Source organism: Homo sapiens, chromosome 7, assembly GCF_000001405.40.
Source record: "Homo sapiens chromosome 7, GRCh38.p14 Primary Assembly".
In the NCBI taxonomy this organism is placed as follows: Eukaryota; Metazoa; Chordata; class Mammalia; order Primates; family Hominidae; genus Homo; species Homo sapiens.
In genome coordinates, this window is record NC_000007.14 from 44,114,584 (window position 1) to 44,132,549 (window position 17,966).

General features: G+C 52.3%; 1 protein-coding gene and 1 pseudogene across 9 annotated transcripts, besides 4 other annotated features; both read right to left on the reverse strand.

The window, feature by feature from the left end:
* Positions 97 to 9,742, reverse strand: POLD2 (DNA polymerase delta 2, accessory subunit). 9 transcript variants are annotated; one of them, NM_001256879.2, is made up of 12 exons: positions 8,596 to 8,965; positions 7,699 to 7,876; positions 7,251 to 7,612; positions 3,360 to 3,481; positions 3,036 to 3,159; positions 2,550 to 2,664; positions 2,234 to 2,432; positions 1,847 to 1,927; positions 1,532 to 1,689; positions 1,183 to 1,310; positions 712 to 813; positions 97 to 362 (listed from the first exon to the last, which is right to left on the reverse strand). In NM_001256879.2, exons 3-12 carry the CDS (start codon positions 7,468 to 7,470, stop codon positions 202 to 204), a joined length of 1,410 nt encoding a protein of 469 aa, NP_001243808.1. In that variant the 5' UTR covers positions 7,471 to 7,612; positions 7,699 to 7,876; positions 8,596 to 8,965; the 3' UTR covers positions 97 to 201. The 9 variants fall into 9 exon arrangements, with proteins under 9 accessions (NP_001243808.1, XP_047276456.1, XP_047276453.1 ...); XM_047420500.1 differs by lacking the exons at positions 7,699 to 7,876; positions 8,596 to 8,965 and adding an exon at positions 9,727 to 9,742 and having other exon boundaries at positions 7,251 to 7,526; XM_047420497.1 differs by lacking the exons at positions 7,699 to 7,876; positions 8,596 to 8,965 and adding an exon at positions 9,030 to 9,646 and having other exon boundaries at positions 7,251 to 7,526.
* Positions 8,651 to 9,360: a silencer, noted in NCBI's record as "silent region_18142". NCBI's record gives its function as "represses an Ori minimal core promoter by ATAC-STARR-seq in GM12878 lymphoblastoid cells {active_cell/tissue: GM12878}" and the evidence as "EXISTENCE:reporter gene assay evidence [ECO:0000049][PMID:35858748]".
* Positions 8,651 to 10,051: a biological region, named in NCBI's record as "H3K27ac-H3K4me1 hESC enhancer GRCh37_chr7:44163329-44164233".
* Positions 9,147 to 10,051: an enhancer, noted in NCBI's record as "H3K27ac-H3K4me1 hESC enhancer chr7:44163329-44164233 (GRCh37/hg19 assembly coordinates)". NCBI's record gives its function as "activates a minimal SCP1, AML or CMV promoter by ChIP-STARR-seq in naive H9 embryonic stem cells {active_cell/tissue: H9 hESC(naive)}" and the evidence as "EXISTENCE:reporter gene assay evidence [ECO:0000049][PMID:30033119]".
* Positions 9,571 to 9,630: an enhancer, noted in NCBI's record as "active region_25932". NCBI's record gives its function as "activates an Ori minimal core promoter by ATAC-STARR-seq in GM12878 lymphoblastoid cells {active_cell/tissue: GM12878}" and the evidence as "EXISTENCE:reporter gene assay evidence [ECO:0000049][PMID:35858748]".
* Positions 11,169 to 11,290, reverse strand: RNA5SP230 (RNA, 5S ribosomal pseudogene 230; annotated as a pseudogene).

The following is a 17,966-nucleotide window of genomic DNA, read 5'->3' on the forward strand; positions in this document are numbered from 1 at the left end:
TCAGGGATGGGGAGGAGGGAGACCGGCTGGTGGGTGCATGGGCTATGGTCACTGTGGGCACCCCTGCAGGAGTCCCATAGCCAGAGTGCCCAGGGCTCAAGGCTCGCATCAGCAAGTGCTCAGGCTTTATTTACAATGCCGACACTGCAGGGAATGAACAGCCTCCATCTGGGCCTCTCTGGTCAAAACCACTTTTTTGAGTCAGGGGCCCAGCCCCAGGCCTCCCAGGTCATCGTCCTCTGCCCCGAAGCCCGAGAAGCTGATGGGCTGGCAGGCCAGGCTGCGCAGGTTCACAAGGCAGGCGGTCTGCGTGGCACTGAAGTCAGGGACAGTCACCAACAGCACTGTCTGGTCCTCAGGACCTGCAAAGAAGTCACATAGGACCCACTGTAGGTTCCAAGTAAGTCCTGCCTCAAAGAGAAGCTGCCAGAAATAAACAGGAGTCCCCATTGGCACACAGTGGGGCAGTGACAATAGGAGACCAGAGATTAGCCTTGAGAGGCACACAGGCTGGGAGCCGTTCCAGTCCCTGCCCAGCTGGCGAGGCAGCTTGGCTCCCACAGTGAAATGGCAGCTGTGCAGAAGACCTCAGCTGTCCATCCCACAAGGGCCAGGGGGACTCCACAATGCAGGTTTTCTTCTCTGTGAACCTTGTCCCCAGGTGAGAGCAAATCAGCAAATCAGCCTGGGCCCCCAGAAGACAAAAATTACCTCGGATGATTTTGGAGCCAAAGCTGGGGGTGTTGCCACAAAAGTAGACATGCGGGCACTCTGGGAAGATGAACGGGTCAGTTTTGTAGAAGGGGTAACAACCTGGAGGAGAAGGGGCAGCTCTGAGGAGGGTTCCGCCTCAGCACTAGCACTCTGCACAGGATGTGGGGCTGCAGCCCCTCCTCCCATTGCAGGCCAGTAGGAGACCCCCAGTGTGACAATAGGGGCACCTCCAGACATTGTCACAAGACCTTGGCCCTGCTGTTGCTGCCCGTTGGGGTGGGCAGCCATTGGCCTTAGAATTAAGATTCCAGAGTAGCTTCCAGAGCAGGTGCCAAGCCTCTGAACTTCTCCTCAGACAGTTCTCAGCAATGCTGGCAAGTGCAAACCCACAGGGGGACCCTGTGCACTTCAGGGTCCTGCCAGGCCTCCTGGCCCTCTGCTCCCACCCTGTATGGCTGAGCCTGTTACCTAGAGTGTCAGGGGCTGTGGGGCTGATGTGACGGACCCGCAGGGTCCACTCCAGGATCTCCAAGTGATCCTCCATGCTGCTGTATCGGAAAATGTCACTCACGTTCTGTCCTGATGTCCCCAAAAATCTGCAAGGCAAAGCTCAGCTGACTCTTGGCTTTGGGTGCCACCCATAGTGGTCAGCCCAGAGCTCATCTGGCGCTCTTGTGGGGATGCCCCAGAGAGAAGGAACAGATGCTAGGTGGGCCTCTGCAGCCCTGCCACCTTCCTGGGCCCTCCCTCCCCTCCCTTCTTTGTGCCTCCTGAGGCAAAAGGCTGGGTCAGACTGAAGTGTGGCTGTGCCAGCTACCTGACTCCATCAATGGTGGCCTGGTAGGGGTTGGTGACCAGCTGGAGCGTGGAGTAGGCAGTGGCCAGCGGGAACATGCAGGGGTGGAGGGGCTGCTGGGGGAGCGTGTAATTGGTGGGATCAAACTCGCCTGGCATCACGTCCACGGGCACTGAGGCCTGGAAGGCACAGGGCAGGGAGAGCTCACAGGGCCCCGAAGGAGCCCCCTACACCAACTCCGGCCACTCCCCCTGCCCTCCTGCCTGCCTTCTGTTGCCCAGTGGCAGCTTTGAAGACTGCAATCCCCATCACCCCTCCAGCCCCCAGCTCGCTCACGCTCAGCTGCAGGAGGATCTCATCCAGCATCTTAACAGCCTCCACGCTGGCTGCCTGGGTTTTCTTGGTGAGGTATTTGGCCTGGAATAGAAGCCCAGAAGGCCATCAGGCCCAGGCGAGTCCCAGGCTCAGAGGAGAGTAGAGCCCCACCAGCTGGAAGATGCAGTTGTTGTCCCATAGACCCTCACTCCCTTCAAGCCTCCCACCATCCTCAGCGAGGGCCTGGGCATGAGGAGCCCCATTGCAGGAGGCCCCAGAGTCACTGCAGGGCGCTTCCCACCGACCTGCGAGACCTCACAGGGTACCCTACTCGCCCTGGGGAAGGAGGGTCTTACAGGCTTGCAGGCTCCTGGGCTGGGGCTGAATGCAGCCAGGTGGGCTCCATACCTTATTGATAGAATCCCTGCTCTGGGTGCTGTGGCTGAGGAGGTTGCCAGCGAGGATAACCCGGGAGACGTGGGCGGCGCTGCACTGCTCCCCTTCGTCCCCAAGCTGCCCCGTCACCACATCCACCAGCAGCTGGGTGCCCAGCAGGCTCTCGCCTCCACCGCCACCCAGGCCCAGGCCGGACACCAGTAGCACAAACCTGCGGGAGAAGGTGGGGTCCTCCAGGGTGCCGAGAAGGGAGGCAGCCCCTCCTAGGTGCAACTCAAAGATTCCACTGACCATGAGCTGGTTCCAGCTCCCGAGAACTGCTGCTCACCTATCTGTGTCAAGTGGGGGTGCGGGCTTCTGGGGAGCAAGGTCAGCAAAGCAATAGTCCTCCACCAGAAACTTCCCGTCGTCTCTCACGGAGCCAAACACAGCCAGGACAGTCCCTGGGGAGCAGTGGCATCAGGCCTGAGCAGGGAGCCCCAGGTGCTACCACTCCTTCCAGTCACCCCAACGGGCAAAACAAGCCAGTTCTCCACAACCACATTGGTGAATTCTCACCTAGGACTCCAGGATGCATGCCTGCTTCCTGGAGTCACTGCCCTTGGATGGAGGTGGGGAGACCCATCTCCCAGCCAGGTCTCACCCAATCTGATGGCCTCCGACCGCCTGGAGCCTCACCTACCTCCTCAAGAACACACGTGTGCCCAGGCCACACCCCCCCACTCCCCCCAGGCTCCCCACTCACACCATCCCTAACACACCACCGCTGGGCTCTTCACCTGCATCACCCACATCCTCTCATTGGGCTCCCTACCCGTAACCAGCTTTGACACGTCAATGGTGCCTTTTAGTTTGATACGCTGCAGTTCATCTTCCAAGACCAGCTCGTCATCTGGGTGTATGTATTTACTCCGAGGAGGCTGGGGGAGCAGGTTGTGCTGGAATGCAGAGACAGGAGGTATAATCTTGGGGCCAGAGCCCACCAAAGCTCTGGTGTTAGTGAGCTGGCACCGCAGCCCCCACCCCTCTGGAGTCCATTGTCTCTGAACCTGCTTCCCCACAACCCCACCTCCAGGGAGGTGTTCTAGTGGGAGGCCAGGTCTGCCTGGCGGCCCCACTGTGTAGCACCCTGCCTCACCTCCTCGCTGACCTCCCGCAGGATGGAGGGCTGCAGCGGCATGGCCTTGAACAGAGTGCCCACCACACAGCACTTCTCCTCAGGCTGCAGTTCACACAGCTTCTTCACTCCCACTCCACTGCCTGGGACACGAGGGGTACAGACTCAGAGATGAAGTAGCCCCCCCGCCCGACAGAGGCCATGGAGGCCCTGCCCAGCACTCCATGAGAGGCCAATCACAGGGCCCTGGCCTTGCCAGGAGAGAACATCAAGTACAAGGACCCCCTGGACTTCACGGTGACAGTAAAAAGTGAGTCAGCCACAGGAGACCAGGGACTCTGGGTGTGGTTGGGCCCTGGATGCCAAGTGTCCTCATGAGAACAGAGAGACAGACACACAGACAAGAGGGAGTGTGAAGACGGGCAGAGCGGAGTGATGCGGCCACAAGCCCAGGAACACCAGGGAGGAGGCCAGGAAGGACCCTCCCCTCGGGCCTTCAGAAGGAGCCAATCCTGCTGACATCTGGATTTCAACTTCTGGCCTCCAGAACTGCCAGAGAGTAAATGTCTGTGTTTTTCTGTTATTGTTGTTTCTGTTTTTGTTTTTGTTTTGAGGCGGAGTCTCGCTGTCATCCAGGCTGGAGTGCAGTGGCGCGATCTCAGCTCACTGCAAGCTCCGCCTCCCGGGTTCACGCCATTCTCCTGCCTCAGCCTCCCGAGTAGCTGGGACTACAGGCGTGTGCCACCACGCCCAGCTAATTTTTTTTTTTTTGTATTTTTAGTAGAGACAGGGTTTCACCGTGTTAGCCAGGATGGTCTCAATCTCTTGACCTTGTGATCTGCCCGCCTCGGCCTCCCAAAGTGCTGGGATTACAGTCGTGAGCCACCGTGCCCGGCCATGTCTGTTGTTTTAAGTCAACCAGTTTGTGGTGCTTTGTTACAGCGCCTACAGGAAACTAATACAAAGTACTGCTTCACTTATACCTAAATTACAACACTGACTCTTAAAAAGAAGCATGCCAAGTCTCAACACAGCCCTGTCCCACAAATAACTGCCATTTTCTTTTAAGACTTTAGATTCTTCCACCCTACCCCCCACCCCCAACCCCCACCAAATGCTTCATCCTCTGAGACCAGAGATACTCAAAATGCAGACCTCAGATCCCCTCCACCCATTCCATTCCCGTGGAGTCAGGTGGCTTTGTTTACCCAGGGCACCTGGGCACCGTCTTCCCCAGCCCCTTCCCGGGATCCTAGGTATGAACAAGAACACATGGGAGGGGCTTGGCACTCTCGAGAAGAAAGGTATGGAGAATCAGTGAGGGCAGGAGGGAGGAATACAGGTGCCCACACAGCACAGATCCAGGCCTGGAGAAAACACCAAGGAGGTGACAGGACAACGCGGATGCCAGACCAGCCCCTTAGCCTAGCTGACTCCAGCACAGCCTGAGCCCCTGCTGCCTGGGAAGAACCAGGAATATTCCTCAAATCTACGCCCTAGGGAGCAGACAGAGGCGAGCAACTCAAAACAAGACAAGAAGGATGCCAGCAGCAGACAGAAATGCAACAGACTCCACATCCTCACGTATCCCACTCTTACTCTCCCCCAGGTGGCCTAAGCACTGTACATGTAACTCAGCCAACGCTGAAAATGTGCCAGGAGTAGATATTATCACCCAACTGATGCACAGAGAGGTTAAGCAATGTGTCCAAGGGCACACAACTGGGATCCAAGTGTATGCCCCTGAGCACTGGGCAGAATGACATCCCTGTAACCGATAGTAGGACATGCTTCCACCCAGGCAATGTGCTGGCACCAAGATCAAAACTGGACATAAAAGCCAACACTTGCCCCCACTCAGCCCACTGGGTCTAGGCAGGAGAACGACAACAGGCCATAGACAAGTAACTCGCCACAGTGACAAGTGCTGTGAACAAATGGTGAGCTGAGGTAGAAAACGGAGGCCCTCATTGCAAGGTGGCTTCAGGTGGCCCCTCAAAGAATATAACACTTCAGCTGACAGTGGGGCTTAGATGGGGCCATGGGAAGACAAGGGAAAGAGTGTGCCAAGTGAAGGGAAAAGCCTACAGCAGGAAGGTCTGGGCAGGTTTGGGGAACAGGTGAGTGGAAAGACCAATTTGGAGAGACAGGCTGAGCTTCAGTGAGGATGCACAGGCCACATGGAGAAGCCACATGTAGGTATTCAGGGTGGGGGCCAGCACCAACCACCAGGCCTGTGAGCGAGTGCTACTGCTGCCCCGCTGCTATCAACACATTCACTGTGGCAGCTGTTTGGTTTCCTGACCAGTCTGTGAGCACAGTGAAATCGCTATCGTCCATCACTGGGGAGCTTTTTTGACAGCTCCAATAACTGGAAGAGAAATGTGCGACCAGAGGAGGTGCTGCCGGAAAGAATCTAGAAGGTGGCATTGACATTGGGCCCAAGTAGTAACTGAGCTCTGAAAGGAGCCAAGGAAGGTGTCCCGAGGGCTGAAAGGAAAGTGAGGAAAAGCTACCGGAGCCGCAGGAGGGAGCCCCTGATTATGTGGGAGAGGAGAGGTGAACAGCACTTTGTCTCAGGTAAACAAAACAGAAAACATCCTGATATGATTTGGCTCTGTGTCCCCACCCACATCTCATCTGGAATTATAATCCACACGGTGTTGACGGAGGGACCTGGTGGGAGGTGACTGGATTGTGGGGGTGGATTTCCCCCATGCTGTTCTTGTGATGGTGAGTGAGATCAAGCCATCATGCGATCTGATGGTTTAAAAATGGTTGGCAGTTCCCCTTGCTCTCTCTCTCCTGCTATCATGTAAAAGAGCCTTGCTTTCCCTTCACCTTCTGCCATGATTGTTAAGTTTCCTGAGGCCTCCCCAGCCATGAGGAACTGTGAGTCAATTAAACCTCTTTTCTTTATAAATTACCCTATCTCAGGTAGTTTTTTATAGCAATGTGAAAATGGACTAATACATATCCCTAATGAATTTGAGGTTCTAGCTAGATTTCTAGGCCCAGGGTTCTCCTGCCTGCCTATAACGAGAATTGATCTTGGCTTGGCATGGGATGAGATGGGCTTCTCAAAGCTCCCCAGGGGATTCCAATGTGCAACTAGGGCTGAGATCCATTTTGCCTGGTGCCAAGGACAGTAAAAATGAGTAAGACCTGGTCTCACCTACTAAATCCTCAGTTTAAAAATATAATAGGAGATGGATTTGAAAATTACCTGGAAAGCCACTCTTATGTAAGTGGTAGGAATGGGGGAATGCAGCAGCACCTAAAACTCAAATAAACTCAAAGGGGGAGATGGGGGTCCCTGCTTCACCACCAAGAGTAATCCAACTGCAGGAGAGATCACCAGGGAAGAAATGGGGGCAAAGAACAAGGGTTGTGTTGGGCAGGCCACTTTATTAGGAAAGACAGAGGGCCCAAGGGACAGGAAAATTCATGGCCAGCAAATATGGGGGCCAGGAGGAGAGGCAAACAGACATGAGTGAACAGAGGGGGTCCCCTCGAGACCAGAGAGTGCATCCTCACCAGTCTTGGCTCCTGGTGCCTGGCGCCAGGCTTGCCACACTGAGGGGCTCTCTGGCTACAGCACAGGCAAATACCTGAATAATCTGCACTGAAGATAGGAAAACCATTTTCCTCTGCCAGTGAAGTAATCGCCATCACCGCCAGAACTAAGTCCTCATCTCCAACCAGCCTCTGAACTAAAACTAACTCCAAACCCACAAATTACTTAATTTAATCCTTGTTACTATCTTAAGAAGAAACTGAGGGAAAAAGAGGTTAATTTTCCCAAGGTAACAGGAAGTGGGATCAATTAGATAAACTGTTCCCATTCTCTTGCAGAACACTTCTAAGTTCAGGGATGCTGTGGGGGAAGCACCTTCCCAAACTCTCACTTACCCCAGTGCTGCTGGGCCCGGTTCTCCAGGAAGGGTCTCATTTGGATGAGGCGGGTGGCATAAATGTGGGCATACTGCCGGCTAAAGCTGCGCTCTCCTAGCCGGAAGGGTTGTGAGGAGTTGGTGTAGGTTGCCACTGGCACCCGGGCAAAGGTGGCATTGTTGGCTGATGGTGGGGACAGTAGAGTGTGGGCCCTCTGGGCAGCCTGCTCAGAAAACATGGCCACACTCCTGACTTGCTTGGTCCACACAGCTTCGCCCAGGCCAAGGAGGTTCACTGCGAAAACACAAAGGCATTCCTGCTGCCCCTGTCCATCCCCCAAAGCAGCAGCTCTCCTGGTGTCTCACTGCACCCAAAGGATACTGGGAAAAGAAGGAGAACAGCTGTAGTTGACACCAGACATTGTGTCCACTTGGAAATTTATCGTGCCTGGATACCGATGTCTCACCCTGTAGCGGTCATCCAAAAAGAGAAAAGGAAAGCTAGGAGTGTTTGTCCCATCTGGAGTTCTTCCCGAACCCTAGACTCAGGTGTCCTGTTCCATCTGGACAACTACCAGGGTCTCAATCAAGTTCAGTTTGCCCCAAATGGAATTCCCGATCTGCCTCCATCCAGCTCTCCGGCACCTGTCTCATTTCCAGACAAGAGGTCTGCCTTATTAAATAAAACTTCTGTGAAATAATAAGCCTATTATTAAATAATAATAGAACTAAACCAAAACCAAAACATAAATCAGTCACTGCTCTGTTCAAAACTCTCCAAAGTGTCCTCATTTCATTGAATAAGGCCCCAAGTCCTTACAACTGCCTATGAGATCTGCTCCACTGGTCCTCTCCCCTCCTGGTTCCCACTCCTCCACCTTGGATCCCTCCCCACAGCAAGGGGCCTCTGAACTCTTGCTTGCCCCTCTCCCGTATACTTATAGAGCTCACTTGCCCATCTCCTTCAAGTTCTTACATCTTTACTCAAATGTTACCTTGTGCCCTGCCCATCTGATTTACAACTGCAACTCTCCCCAGTACTTCAACTGTTATTGTTGTTTACAACATTTACCTTCTAACAAACTGTATATTTTAAATGTATTGTCTGCCTGCTCCAACTAGACCATAAGCTCCAGGAGAGCTGAGATTTTTGTGTCTTATGCCACTAGCCACCTAGGGCTACGAAGTACAGGAGATGTGGTGAGTCCAACTGTGATGTTTGGGTTGGACACACAATGGATTTCTAAGAATAGTACAAAGAATATCCCAATAATTTTTTCACATACAATTGAAATAATAGTTTGAATATATTTATGGATTTACTCCAATTGATTTGTTTCGTTTTACTTTTTTCGTACACCTACTAGAAAGTTAAAAAATTCCCTAGCGGCTTGCAATCTATCTCCACGGGACAGCACTGGCCTGGGACACAGGCTCCGCACACGTGTCTAACGAGTGACTCGTTAGGAGCTTTTGGCTCGAACGTGCTTGATGGCGGCAGCAGCCAGGCCGCGCTACTCGGGATGGGGCCGAGAGCGCCCTGGGGGCTGTCCCAGTCACGGCGGGTGCCCCGGCTCGGATCCACGCGGCAGCTGCGGGACGTCCGCCAAGACACCAGCCCACCGACCCAGGAGCCCGGCCTCGCGGCCTGGAACTGCCACCCCCAGCTGACCCCGTTTCCCTGGACCCCACTCACCGCGCGGCGCGCCGCATCCCGCCAATCCCCGCGCGCCTGCCCCGCCCATCGCCGCAACTCGCTAATCCCCGCGCGGCTTCCCCGCCCATCGCCTAATCTCACCAATCGCTGCCCTCCTCGCCCCGTCCGTCACCAGGCGCCTCATCCCGCCGACCACTGTGCGCCCAGTCCCTGGGACGCCCAGAGAACGCGGAGCCACACCCTCGGTTTCCTGGGCAACGCGGGGCGGGGGCTCGCAGGCCGGCGCCGCGGGTCTTTGGTTGGCGGCCGCGCGTGCAGGGGTTGGGCTGACGGGGGGTGTCGGCCTCCAGTGGGCTGACCGCGTCACCCCGTCAGGCCCTGCCCAAACCTCCCAGTGGTCGTCACCCCGCCAGACCTCCCAGTGGTCGGCCGCCAGCCTCCTTGGTGAAGCCCCCAGCGTCCCAGCTTTCCCCGCAGAGCTGCCCACTTGTAGCGATGGCGACACGCGAGGAGGATCCCAACAGAAAGAAGGCCCAAGGCCCACTAACTTGGCCGGGGAGAAGTAACTCTTCCTGAAGGGATGGCGCGGGGTCTCGGGGTTCCTCCCGTCCTGCCAGCGTCTGCGTCCGGGAAACGCATTGGCGGTTTCGGGGTCCTCCCTAGCTTGCCCACAGCTGCACACCAGCTTCCAGCCCAACACTCCCCAATCTCCAGTGTCCTCGTTGTCCCCGTTACTCATACTCGTTCTTACCACCACGTCTTTCTGAGTGCTGTCTCCCACTTTGGGAATACTTTTTTTTTTTTTTTTCCATCTCCACTAATTTATAGAATTCCTCACCCCATCAAGAGACGCTTCCCCACTAAGCTTCCCGGGCTCTTCCCGCCGCGCGCTGATTCTCCCAGGCGTCCTCTAGCGCTACTGTTCTGCTACTTCCCTGGGCCTGTTTCCTAAGTCCAGGTCTTGTCTCCACAACGAGTGGATATTAACACTCGTTAATTATTACTTAATATTTTAATTTTTGTTTTTGTTTGTTTGTTTGAGGCAGCGTCTTGCTCTGTGGCCCAGGCTGGAGTGCAGTGGTGCGATCTCGGCTCACTGCAGCCTCGAACTCCCAGGCTCCAGTGATTCTCCCGCCTCAGCCTCCCGAGTAGCTGGGACAACAGGCGCGCAGCACCACGCCTGGCTACTTTAAGTTTGTGTGTGTGTGTGTGTGTGTGCGTGTGTGTGTAGAGACAGGGTCTCCCAATGGTGCCCAGGCTAGTGTGGAACTCCTGGGCTCAAGTGATCCTCCCACCTCAGCCTCCCAAAGTGCTGGGATTACAGGCATGAGCCACCACGCCCAGCCTTATATTTTAATTTAAAATGTGATATTTTAATTATTAAACGCCTTTGCAACTGCTTTGAGGTTATGACACATTAATTCATCTGCTCCTCAAATAATCCTTTGGGTCAGACACAGTGGTTCACGCCTGTATCCCAACACTTTGGGAGGCCGAGGTGGGAGGATCGCTTAAGCCCAGGAGGCTGAGGTTGCAGTGACCTAAGATTGCACCACTGCACTTCAGCCTGAGCGACAGAGCCAGACGCTGTCTCAAAGCAAGCAAACAAACAAAAAACCTTTGAAGCATGAACTATTATTTTTCTCCCACTTTACACATGAGGAAATTGAGGCAGGGAGGGCAAGAGAGATCATGTAGCTAGTGAGTAATAGCTGGGATTCACACAGAGACAGCAGGACTCTTGCTGGTAAGGTTGTACTGTTCTGAGCCTTCACCTGAAACATTGTACATGTATTGGGCAAACAAATAATTTTACTTTTTCCTTTCCAATTCAGATGCTTTTTATTTCTTTTTTCTTACCTGATTACTCTGGCTAGAACTTCCCATACTATGTTGAGTAGAAGTGGTGAAAGTGGGCATCTTTGTCTTATTCCGGATCTTAAAGGGGAAGCTTTCAGTCTTTAGCATTAAATATGTTGCTAGCTGTGAGTTTGGGGATTTGGCCTATGGATTTTATTATTTGAGGTAGTTTCCTCCTATTCTTAGTTTGTTGAGCTTTTTCTTCTTTCAAAAGAGTGTTGAATTTTGTCAAATACTTTTTTGACATCAATTGAGATGACCGTGTGGGTTTTTTTTCTGTTAATGTGGTCTATTACATTTATTGATTTTTATGTTGAACCATTCTAGCATTTCAGGAACAAATTCCACTTGGTGGAATTACAAACCAAAGTTACAATAATACTAGCTTTTAATGTATTCTCTTTTATATAATTAATTTTACTTTAATTGCACCTGAATTTTCCTTTAGCATAGACCGTTATTTCTCCCCTCCAAGTACTAACCAGGCCCAACTCTGCTTAGCTTCTGAGATTGGACACATTCAGGGTGGTACGGCCATAGATGAGATCTTTATTCGTTTATTCGGCTTTTTTTTTTGAGACAGGGTATCACTCTGTCACCCAGGCTGGAGTGCGGTGGCACAATCTCGGCTCACTGCAACCTCCGCCTCCTGGGTTCAGGTGATTCTCTTGCCTCAGCCTCCCAAGTAGCTGGGATTACAGGCATGTGCCACCACACCTGGCTAATTTTTGTATTTTTCGTAGAGATGGGGTTCCACCATATTAGCCAGGCTGGTCTCCAACTCCTCAGGTGATCCGCCCATCTCAGCCTCCCAAAGTGCTGAGATTACAGGTGTGAGCCACTATGCCTGGCCTCTTTATTCAGCTTTGAGTCACTGTCTAGTATCCTTTCATTTCATCCTGAAAGGCTTTCTTTGGCTTTCTTTGCAGGGCAGATCTAGTGATAATGAACTCCCTCAGCTTGTGTTTATCTGGGAATGTCTTCATTTTCCCTTATTTTAAAATAATGGTTAAGTGAGATACAGATACAGGATTCTCAGCTGACAGATTTATTTTTTTCTTTTAGCACTTTGAATATATCAATCTACTGCCTTTTGGCCTCTGAGGTTTCTGATGAGATAGCTGATGATCTTTTTTTTCTTTTTCTTTTTCTTTTTTTTTTGAAACAAGGTCACACTCTGTCACCCAGGCTGGAGTGCAGTGGTGGCACGATCTTGGCTTGGTGCACCCTCCGCCTCCCAGGTTCAAGTGATTCTCCTGCTTCAGCCTCCCGAGTAGCTGGGATTACAGGCATGCACCACCATGCCTCACCAATCTTTGTATTTTTAATGGAGATGGGTTTTTGCCATGTTGGCCAGGCTGGTCTCAAACTCCTGACCTCAAGTGATCCACCTGCCTCGGCCTCCCAAAGTGCTAAGATTACAGGTGTGAGCCACCGTGCCCAGCCAAGATATCTGATAATCTTTTTGAAGATCCCTTGTATGTGATGAGTCACTTCTCTCTTGCAGCTTTTGATATTGTCTCCTTGTCTTTGGCTTTCAGCAGTTTGATTATGATGAATCTCAGTATGAGTATCTTTGAGTTTTTCCTACTTGGAGTTTGTCGAGATTTTTGAATGTTCATATTCATGTCATTCATCAAATTTGAGACATTTTCAGCCATTATTTCTCCTAATAATCTCTCTGGTCCTTCACTCTCTTTTCTTTCTGGAATTTCCACAATGGGTATTAGTCTGCTTGATGGTGTCCCGCAGGTCTCTTAGGCTCTGTTTATTTTTCTTCCATCTTTTTCCTTTCTGTTCCTCAAATTTGATAATTTCCCTGTCCAGTCTTCAAATTGCTGATTTTTTAAATAAATTTTATAATTTTTAAATTTTATATAAGTTTTTTTAAAGATAGGGTTTTTCTATGTTGCCCAGGCTGGTTTCAAACTCCTGGGCTCAAGCAATCCTCCTGCCTCAGCCTTCCAAAGTGCTGGATTATGAGCATGAGCCACTGCACCTGGCCAAGTTTGCTTACATCTGCCTTTGAAGCCCTCTAGGGAATTTATTGTATTCTTCAGCTTCATAATTTTTTGCTACCAAGAAAAAAAACTCCAAAAAGTTTTCTATCACTTTATTGGAATTTCCATTTGTTCCATCACTTTCTTGACTTTGTTCACATTTTCCTTTAGCTCTTCAAGCATCTTTAAGACAGTTGTTTTAAAGTATTTGTCTAGTAAGTCAGCCATCTGGTTTTCCTCTGGTATGGCTTCTGCTTATTTATTCTTTTCCTTTGAGTGGGTCTTAGTCTCCTATTTCTTTGTATGCCTTGTGATTTTTTTTTTGTTGTTGTTGTTGTTGTTGAAAACTGGACATTTGCATCTCATGATGTGGAAACTCTGGAAATCAGGTGCTTCCTCTTTCCCCAAGTTTGCTGGGTTTTTCATTTGTTTGTTTTTATTTTTTATTTTTAGAGCTAGTGTCTTGCTCTGTTGCTCAGGCTGGAGTGATGTGTTGAGTTTATTTTTGATTATGAGAAATGTAGCTCAGGACACCCGTGGGTATAAGACCAAGGTGGTGGCCATCCTCACATTGCAGGAAGGTGTACATTATTCAAGACAGGCTTGAAATGACACGTGGGCCCTGAATTTGGACTAACCCAGCTGCAGTTCAGTAGTGGGTGAAGGGCAGGTGTATCATTTGGTTGTGACAAATGTAAATGAAAGGCAGTTGATCTATTAGATATTGGGGATGCACAGAAATGGTGGGAGTTTGGAGGATCAGGTTTTGGGGCAGATGGGAAGTATGGTTGCTCTGGAGGGCCAAGAAACTGGAAGAACAGCAATCACCTTCTATCTGGGATTCTCTGATCTGCATACCAGTCCTAGGCTGGACCGTCCCCAGTGTTCCCACTGCTCTTGGATGATGCTCTCATGAAACAGAATCTGGGAGAGGTGGCCCAGCTGGCCAGACTTAGCTTGGGAGCCTGCTGCCTGTTATGTTGCTGAGAGTCTAGGTTCCTACACCCTGTAGGGTTGGTTACAGGAACTACCCTCCCACCAAACCCATACATAGTCCAAGAAAAGCAGTTCCCCATAGGAATCAGTGCTATTGAGAAGGGGACAGATACTGGGCTGGTAACTGATCCCTATTCACTTTCAGGCACCATCCACATAGGATGGAAGCAGACAGCTGCAGTTCCCAGAGGCCAGGCCAGGGCAGAAGCCAGAGTCTATGTACAGCCGCCTGGAGGTGGCACCGATGAGGGCAAGGTGGGCTGACTCAGAGGCTGGGACCCTGGCAGGTGCCAGGTCGACCCAAGCCAGGCAAAAACAAGGGTCTACTCTCTAGAGCCTGGGTTGAGGTGGGTGTGGGTCTTGATTGCAAGCCACAGAAACTAACTGGATACAACTCAAGCATAAAGTAGGTTTCATTACAAGGATACATCTCTGTGGGACCCAAGGACAGGAAGGTGGCCCCTTTCCTGTCTTTCCTTTGGCCTCAGGGAGGAAGCAGAGAGTTCAAGGGGGGTCCTGGGAGAAGCATGGTGGAGGTGTTGCTGACAGCAAAGGGAGCAGTGGGTTAGATAATATTCTATTTTGGAGCTGTGTGGCTCTTTGTGTCAGTGGCACATCCTAGGGGACATTCCACAGCTGGGAGGGGTGGGGCTGAAGTACCTTGGCAGATGGAAGGTTAGAGGCTGCTCCAGACACCTGGGATGGTAGAGACAGATCAACGAGTCCCAAGGAAAAAGACAGTGAAGGGTTGACAGTGTGTTGGCAGCAGGAGGGAGGGGGGCAGCTAGGAGAGGGGCCAGAAAGAGGAGGTCTTCTCTCTCCATGCACACACATGCATATGCACACACGTGCATATGCACACACACACATGCATGCACACACACCCCCACATGCACATACACACACAGACACCTGCTACATACACACCCCCAACCTCTCACCTGCCACACCACCTTCTATGCCACACACTTGTGTCCACGCCCCCACAGGCATGGCAGCAGACAGCAGGCCAAGGAGAGGCTCCTTCTCACTGCATCTGGCCTCTGCTGTGCACTGCCTCGGGTCAGCAGGGCGGGCCCCATGCCAATGGCCTTTGGTGGGAGACACACCTTGCTACCCAGAGAGAAACCTCTGGGCATGACCTGCTGTAGTTGGCAAACTCCTCGGCCCCACAGCATCTATAAAGGCTCTCAGCCTTCAGTCTCCACAGGTCTGGAGGTTTGTCATGTGCCTTCATTCACTCATGAGATATTGCCAGAGCATCTGCTCTGTGCCAGGGACAGAGTTGTTCCTATCTTTGTGTTTGCTTACAGAAAGCCATAGCATGAGAGTGAGCAGGTGGGCCAGGCAAGGAGGAATGTTGCCCAGACTTGCACTGGGGGATGGCTTCCTAGAGGAGGTGACTCTGGACTGAGGCCTGAAGCCCGTGGAGGTCAGGGAGGGGCTGGGGGCAAGGGGGCCAGAATGCTGGGACAGCAACTCCCCTCACACAACCATAGCAGCAAAGCCTGGAGGGGCCAGGGTAGGAGGTTCTTGGGGAGGCCACAGCCCTGACAGCCTGGCCAGAGCTGCTCTCCTTTTAGCCTGGACTGAGCTCGACTTGACCTCAGCACCCAGCACCCTCCACTCAGAAGGGCTGGTCTCAAGGTAACTCCCACTGAGACTCACAGGCACTCAGGGACCAGTGAACAGTGAGTCTGGTGGGGTGGGCCTCTGTTTCTTGTAACAAAGGGTCAAAATGAAGAAAGGAATCCCAGTTTTTGGTTAACTTTTCTTAAAACTTTGTCAATGCTACTGTTTGTCTTCATCAGAACATGGGCTAAGATGAGGTACCACTCATCTATTGCTGCAAAACAAACCTGTCAAATCTTACTGGCTCAAAAAATGCAGCGGTTTCTTATTTCTCAGATGCTGTGGGCTGAGCCAGTGGCTCTTTGTCCCTTCTTGCCTGACCTTGGAAGTGGTCATTTGACTGGGTCTGGAGGTCCATCAGAGTCTCCTTCCCAGGGGTCCAGCCTCAGCCGGGGTGGTGCCAGGCCAGGCCTGTCTCTCCAAGTGATCTTTTATCCTGGGCTTTGTCTTATGGATGTCGCGTGGTGGCATTCAGGTTCCAGGAAAGTGAGAACTACAAGGCTGAGGTCAACAAACCACAGGCCAGCCCAGATCTGGGGAGTAGAGAAACAGCCTCATCCTCGTGATGGGAGGATCTCCACATTAAATGATACACAGAACTCTTTTTTCTGAGATGGAGTCTTACTCTGTCCCCCAAGCTGGAGTGCAGCAGTGCAATCTCAGCTCACTGCAACCTCTGCCTCCCAGGCTCAAGCGATTTTCCGGTCTCAGCCTCCTGAGTAGCTGGGATTACAGGCACCCGCCACCACGCCCAGATAATTTTTGTATTTTTAGTAGAGATGGGGTTTCCCTATGTTGACCAGGGTGGTCTCTAGCTCCTGACCTCAGGTGATCTGCCCGCTTCAGCCTCCCGAAGTGCTGGGATTACAGCCATGAGCCACCTTGCCTGGCACTGAATTCTTGAAGTATCCTGTGATGACTCCCCAGTGGTGTGCACACAGGGCTGTGGCTTTCAGGGGCTCTGCAACCCTGGGAGAATGAGGCCATCTGGGGTACCAGCCCACCCCCAAGTCCATCTGCACATTTGATCGAGGGCTGCAGGGTCACTGCCCTGTGGGTATGCCCAGTGGTTCTGAGTTAAATCAGCTTTGCAAGGGGCTTGCTCTGGGCTGACCTCAGAAGAGGAGGCTGGGAAGGTTGGGTTGGTGCTATCAAGAGGTTGGGTAATTCAGACATCTTCATTTTAAGCTCCTGGATATGTGTGGGACACAGAAACTTCCAGGTGCAAGGACTCAGGTTGCCCATGGGCTCTCCAGGCTGTGTGCAGCCAGTTGATTCTCCTGGAGAGGGAGCCCCAGACCCACAGCCTTGCTGCCTTGTGCTCTGCTCTGAGGTCTGTCTGCACAAAGGTCAATAACAGGCTCAAACCCAGCTCCACCACCTCCCAGCTGTGTGTAACCTTGGACAGCTTGCTTAACCACGTGGGGCCAATACTCATACTGTATTGGTTGGGGTTAGGTTCTGTTGTGAGCATGAAAGACTTCAAACAACAGCAGCTTCCATCAGGTGGAGTTTGTTCTCTTCGTGTAGCATTCGATGGGAGGTAGAGGTGATGTGTGATGCCCCCATATGTCAGAGACGCAGCCAGACCCAGCTCACGGCTCCCCCACCCTGTGGCTGTGGCCCTCATCTTCATAGCCCCAGGAGGCTGTGTGCCAGCTAGGTGTTAGCCAGCGGGTTGGAGGGAGGCACAAACATCTGTCTCTTAAGGAGAAAACTGCCACCACACCTAGTCATACCTGCCAGTGAGGGAGGCAGAAAGTGTAGTCTTTATTCTGAGGCCAGGGGTGTAACTACAGACTCAGTCATCACGGAGCGTGAGAGGGCACCGGACTGCCACGTGTGCACTGTGCCCAGCAGCTGAGTGCCTGGGGCAGAGGAGCTCAATGACCATCAGGTGCTGTCAATATCCCGTCCAGCCCTGCTTCACAGACAGGAAACCGAGTCCCAGACAGGCACACAGAGAGGGAGACTGGGCCTACTCCTTGACCTTGGCCAAGGCCTCCCCCAGCTGTCCTATCCCTACACCTCCACACCCCCAGCTTTTCCATCTAGAAGATTCTAGAAGGTTCACTGCAAAGGAAGAGGTGAGTGTGTGCAGACCTACCTATTCCTTATGTTTCTCCAGCTTAACCAGGCCTCTGCACTCTTGTGCAGGAATATCAGAACATGGGGGAGTCCAGGTTCAGGCTGGGGCCTCTCTCAGCCTGTCAGGGAGGGTCAGGACTGAGGTGGGCTGTGGGCCAGCACGCGCCCATCAGTCCCTGACAGTTACACTGGACAGCTAAGCTGGAGAAGCATGTGGGTCACATATTTCTCATGCCAGGGCAGAAATTTAAGAGCCTGTCTTTAACCTTATCAGTGGTGTTAACTCAGCTAAAGAAAGAATATGCAGAGAGAGAGGGCTGGCAGGCTGGGGCACAGCAGGAACTGGGGCCCAGGTTGGGGGCTCAAGAGGTTGCAGGATAAGATCAGAAAATACAACACAAAGCTGGGCACAGTAATCCCAGCACTTTGGGAGGCTGAGACGAGAGGATCCCTTGAGGTCAGTTCAAGACCAGTCTGGACAACATAGCAGGACCCCCTTGAA

Bases quoted from the DNA above. Each gene is read 5' to 3' on its own strand.
- POLD2 (XM_047420497.1), bottom strand. From the start codon at position 9,627: ATGAGTAACGGGGACAACGAGGACACTGGAGATTGGGGAGTGTTGGGC. The intron at 2,665-3,035 runs GTAGGGAGCCCA...ACTGCTCCCCAG, and splicing joins CGTGTCAAAGCTGGTTACGG to GGACTGTCCTGGCTGTGTTT. The intron at 814-1,182 runs GTAACAGGCTCA...CTTCTCCTCCAG, and splicing joins CACAGCCCCTGACACTCTAG to GTTGTTACCCCTTCTACAAA.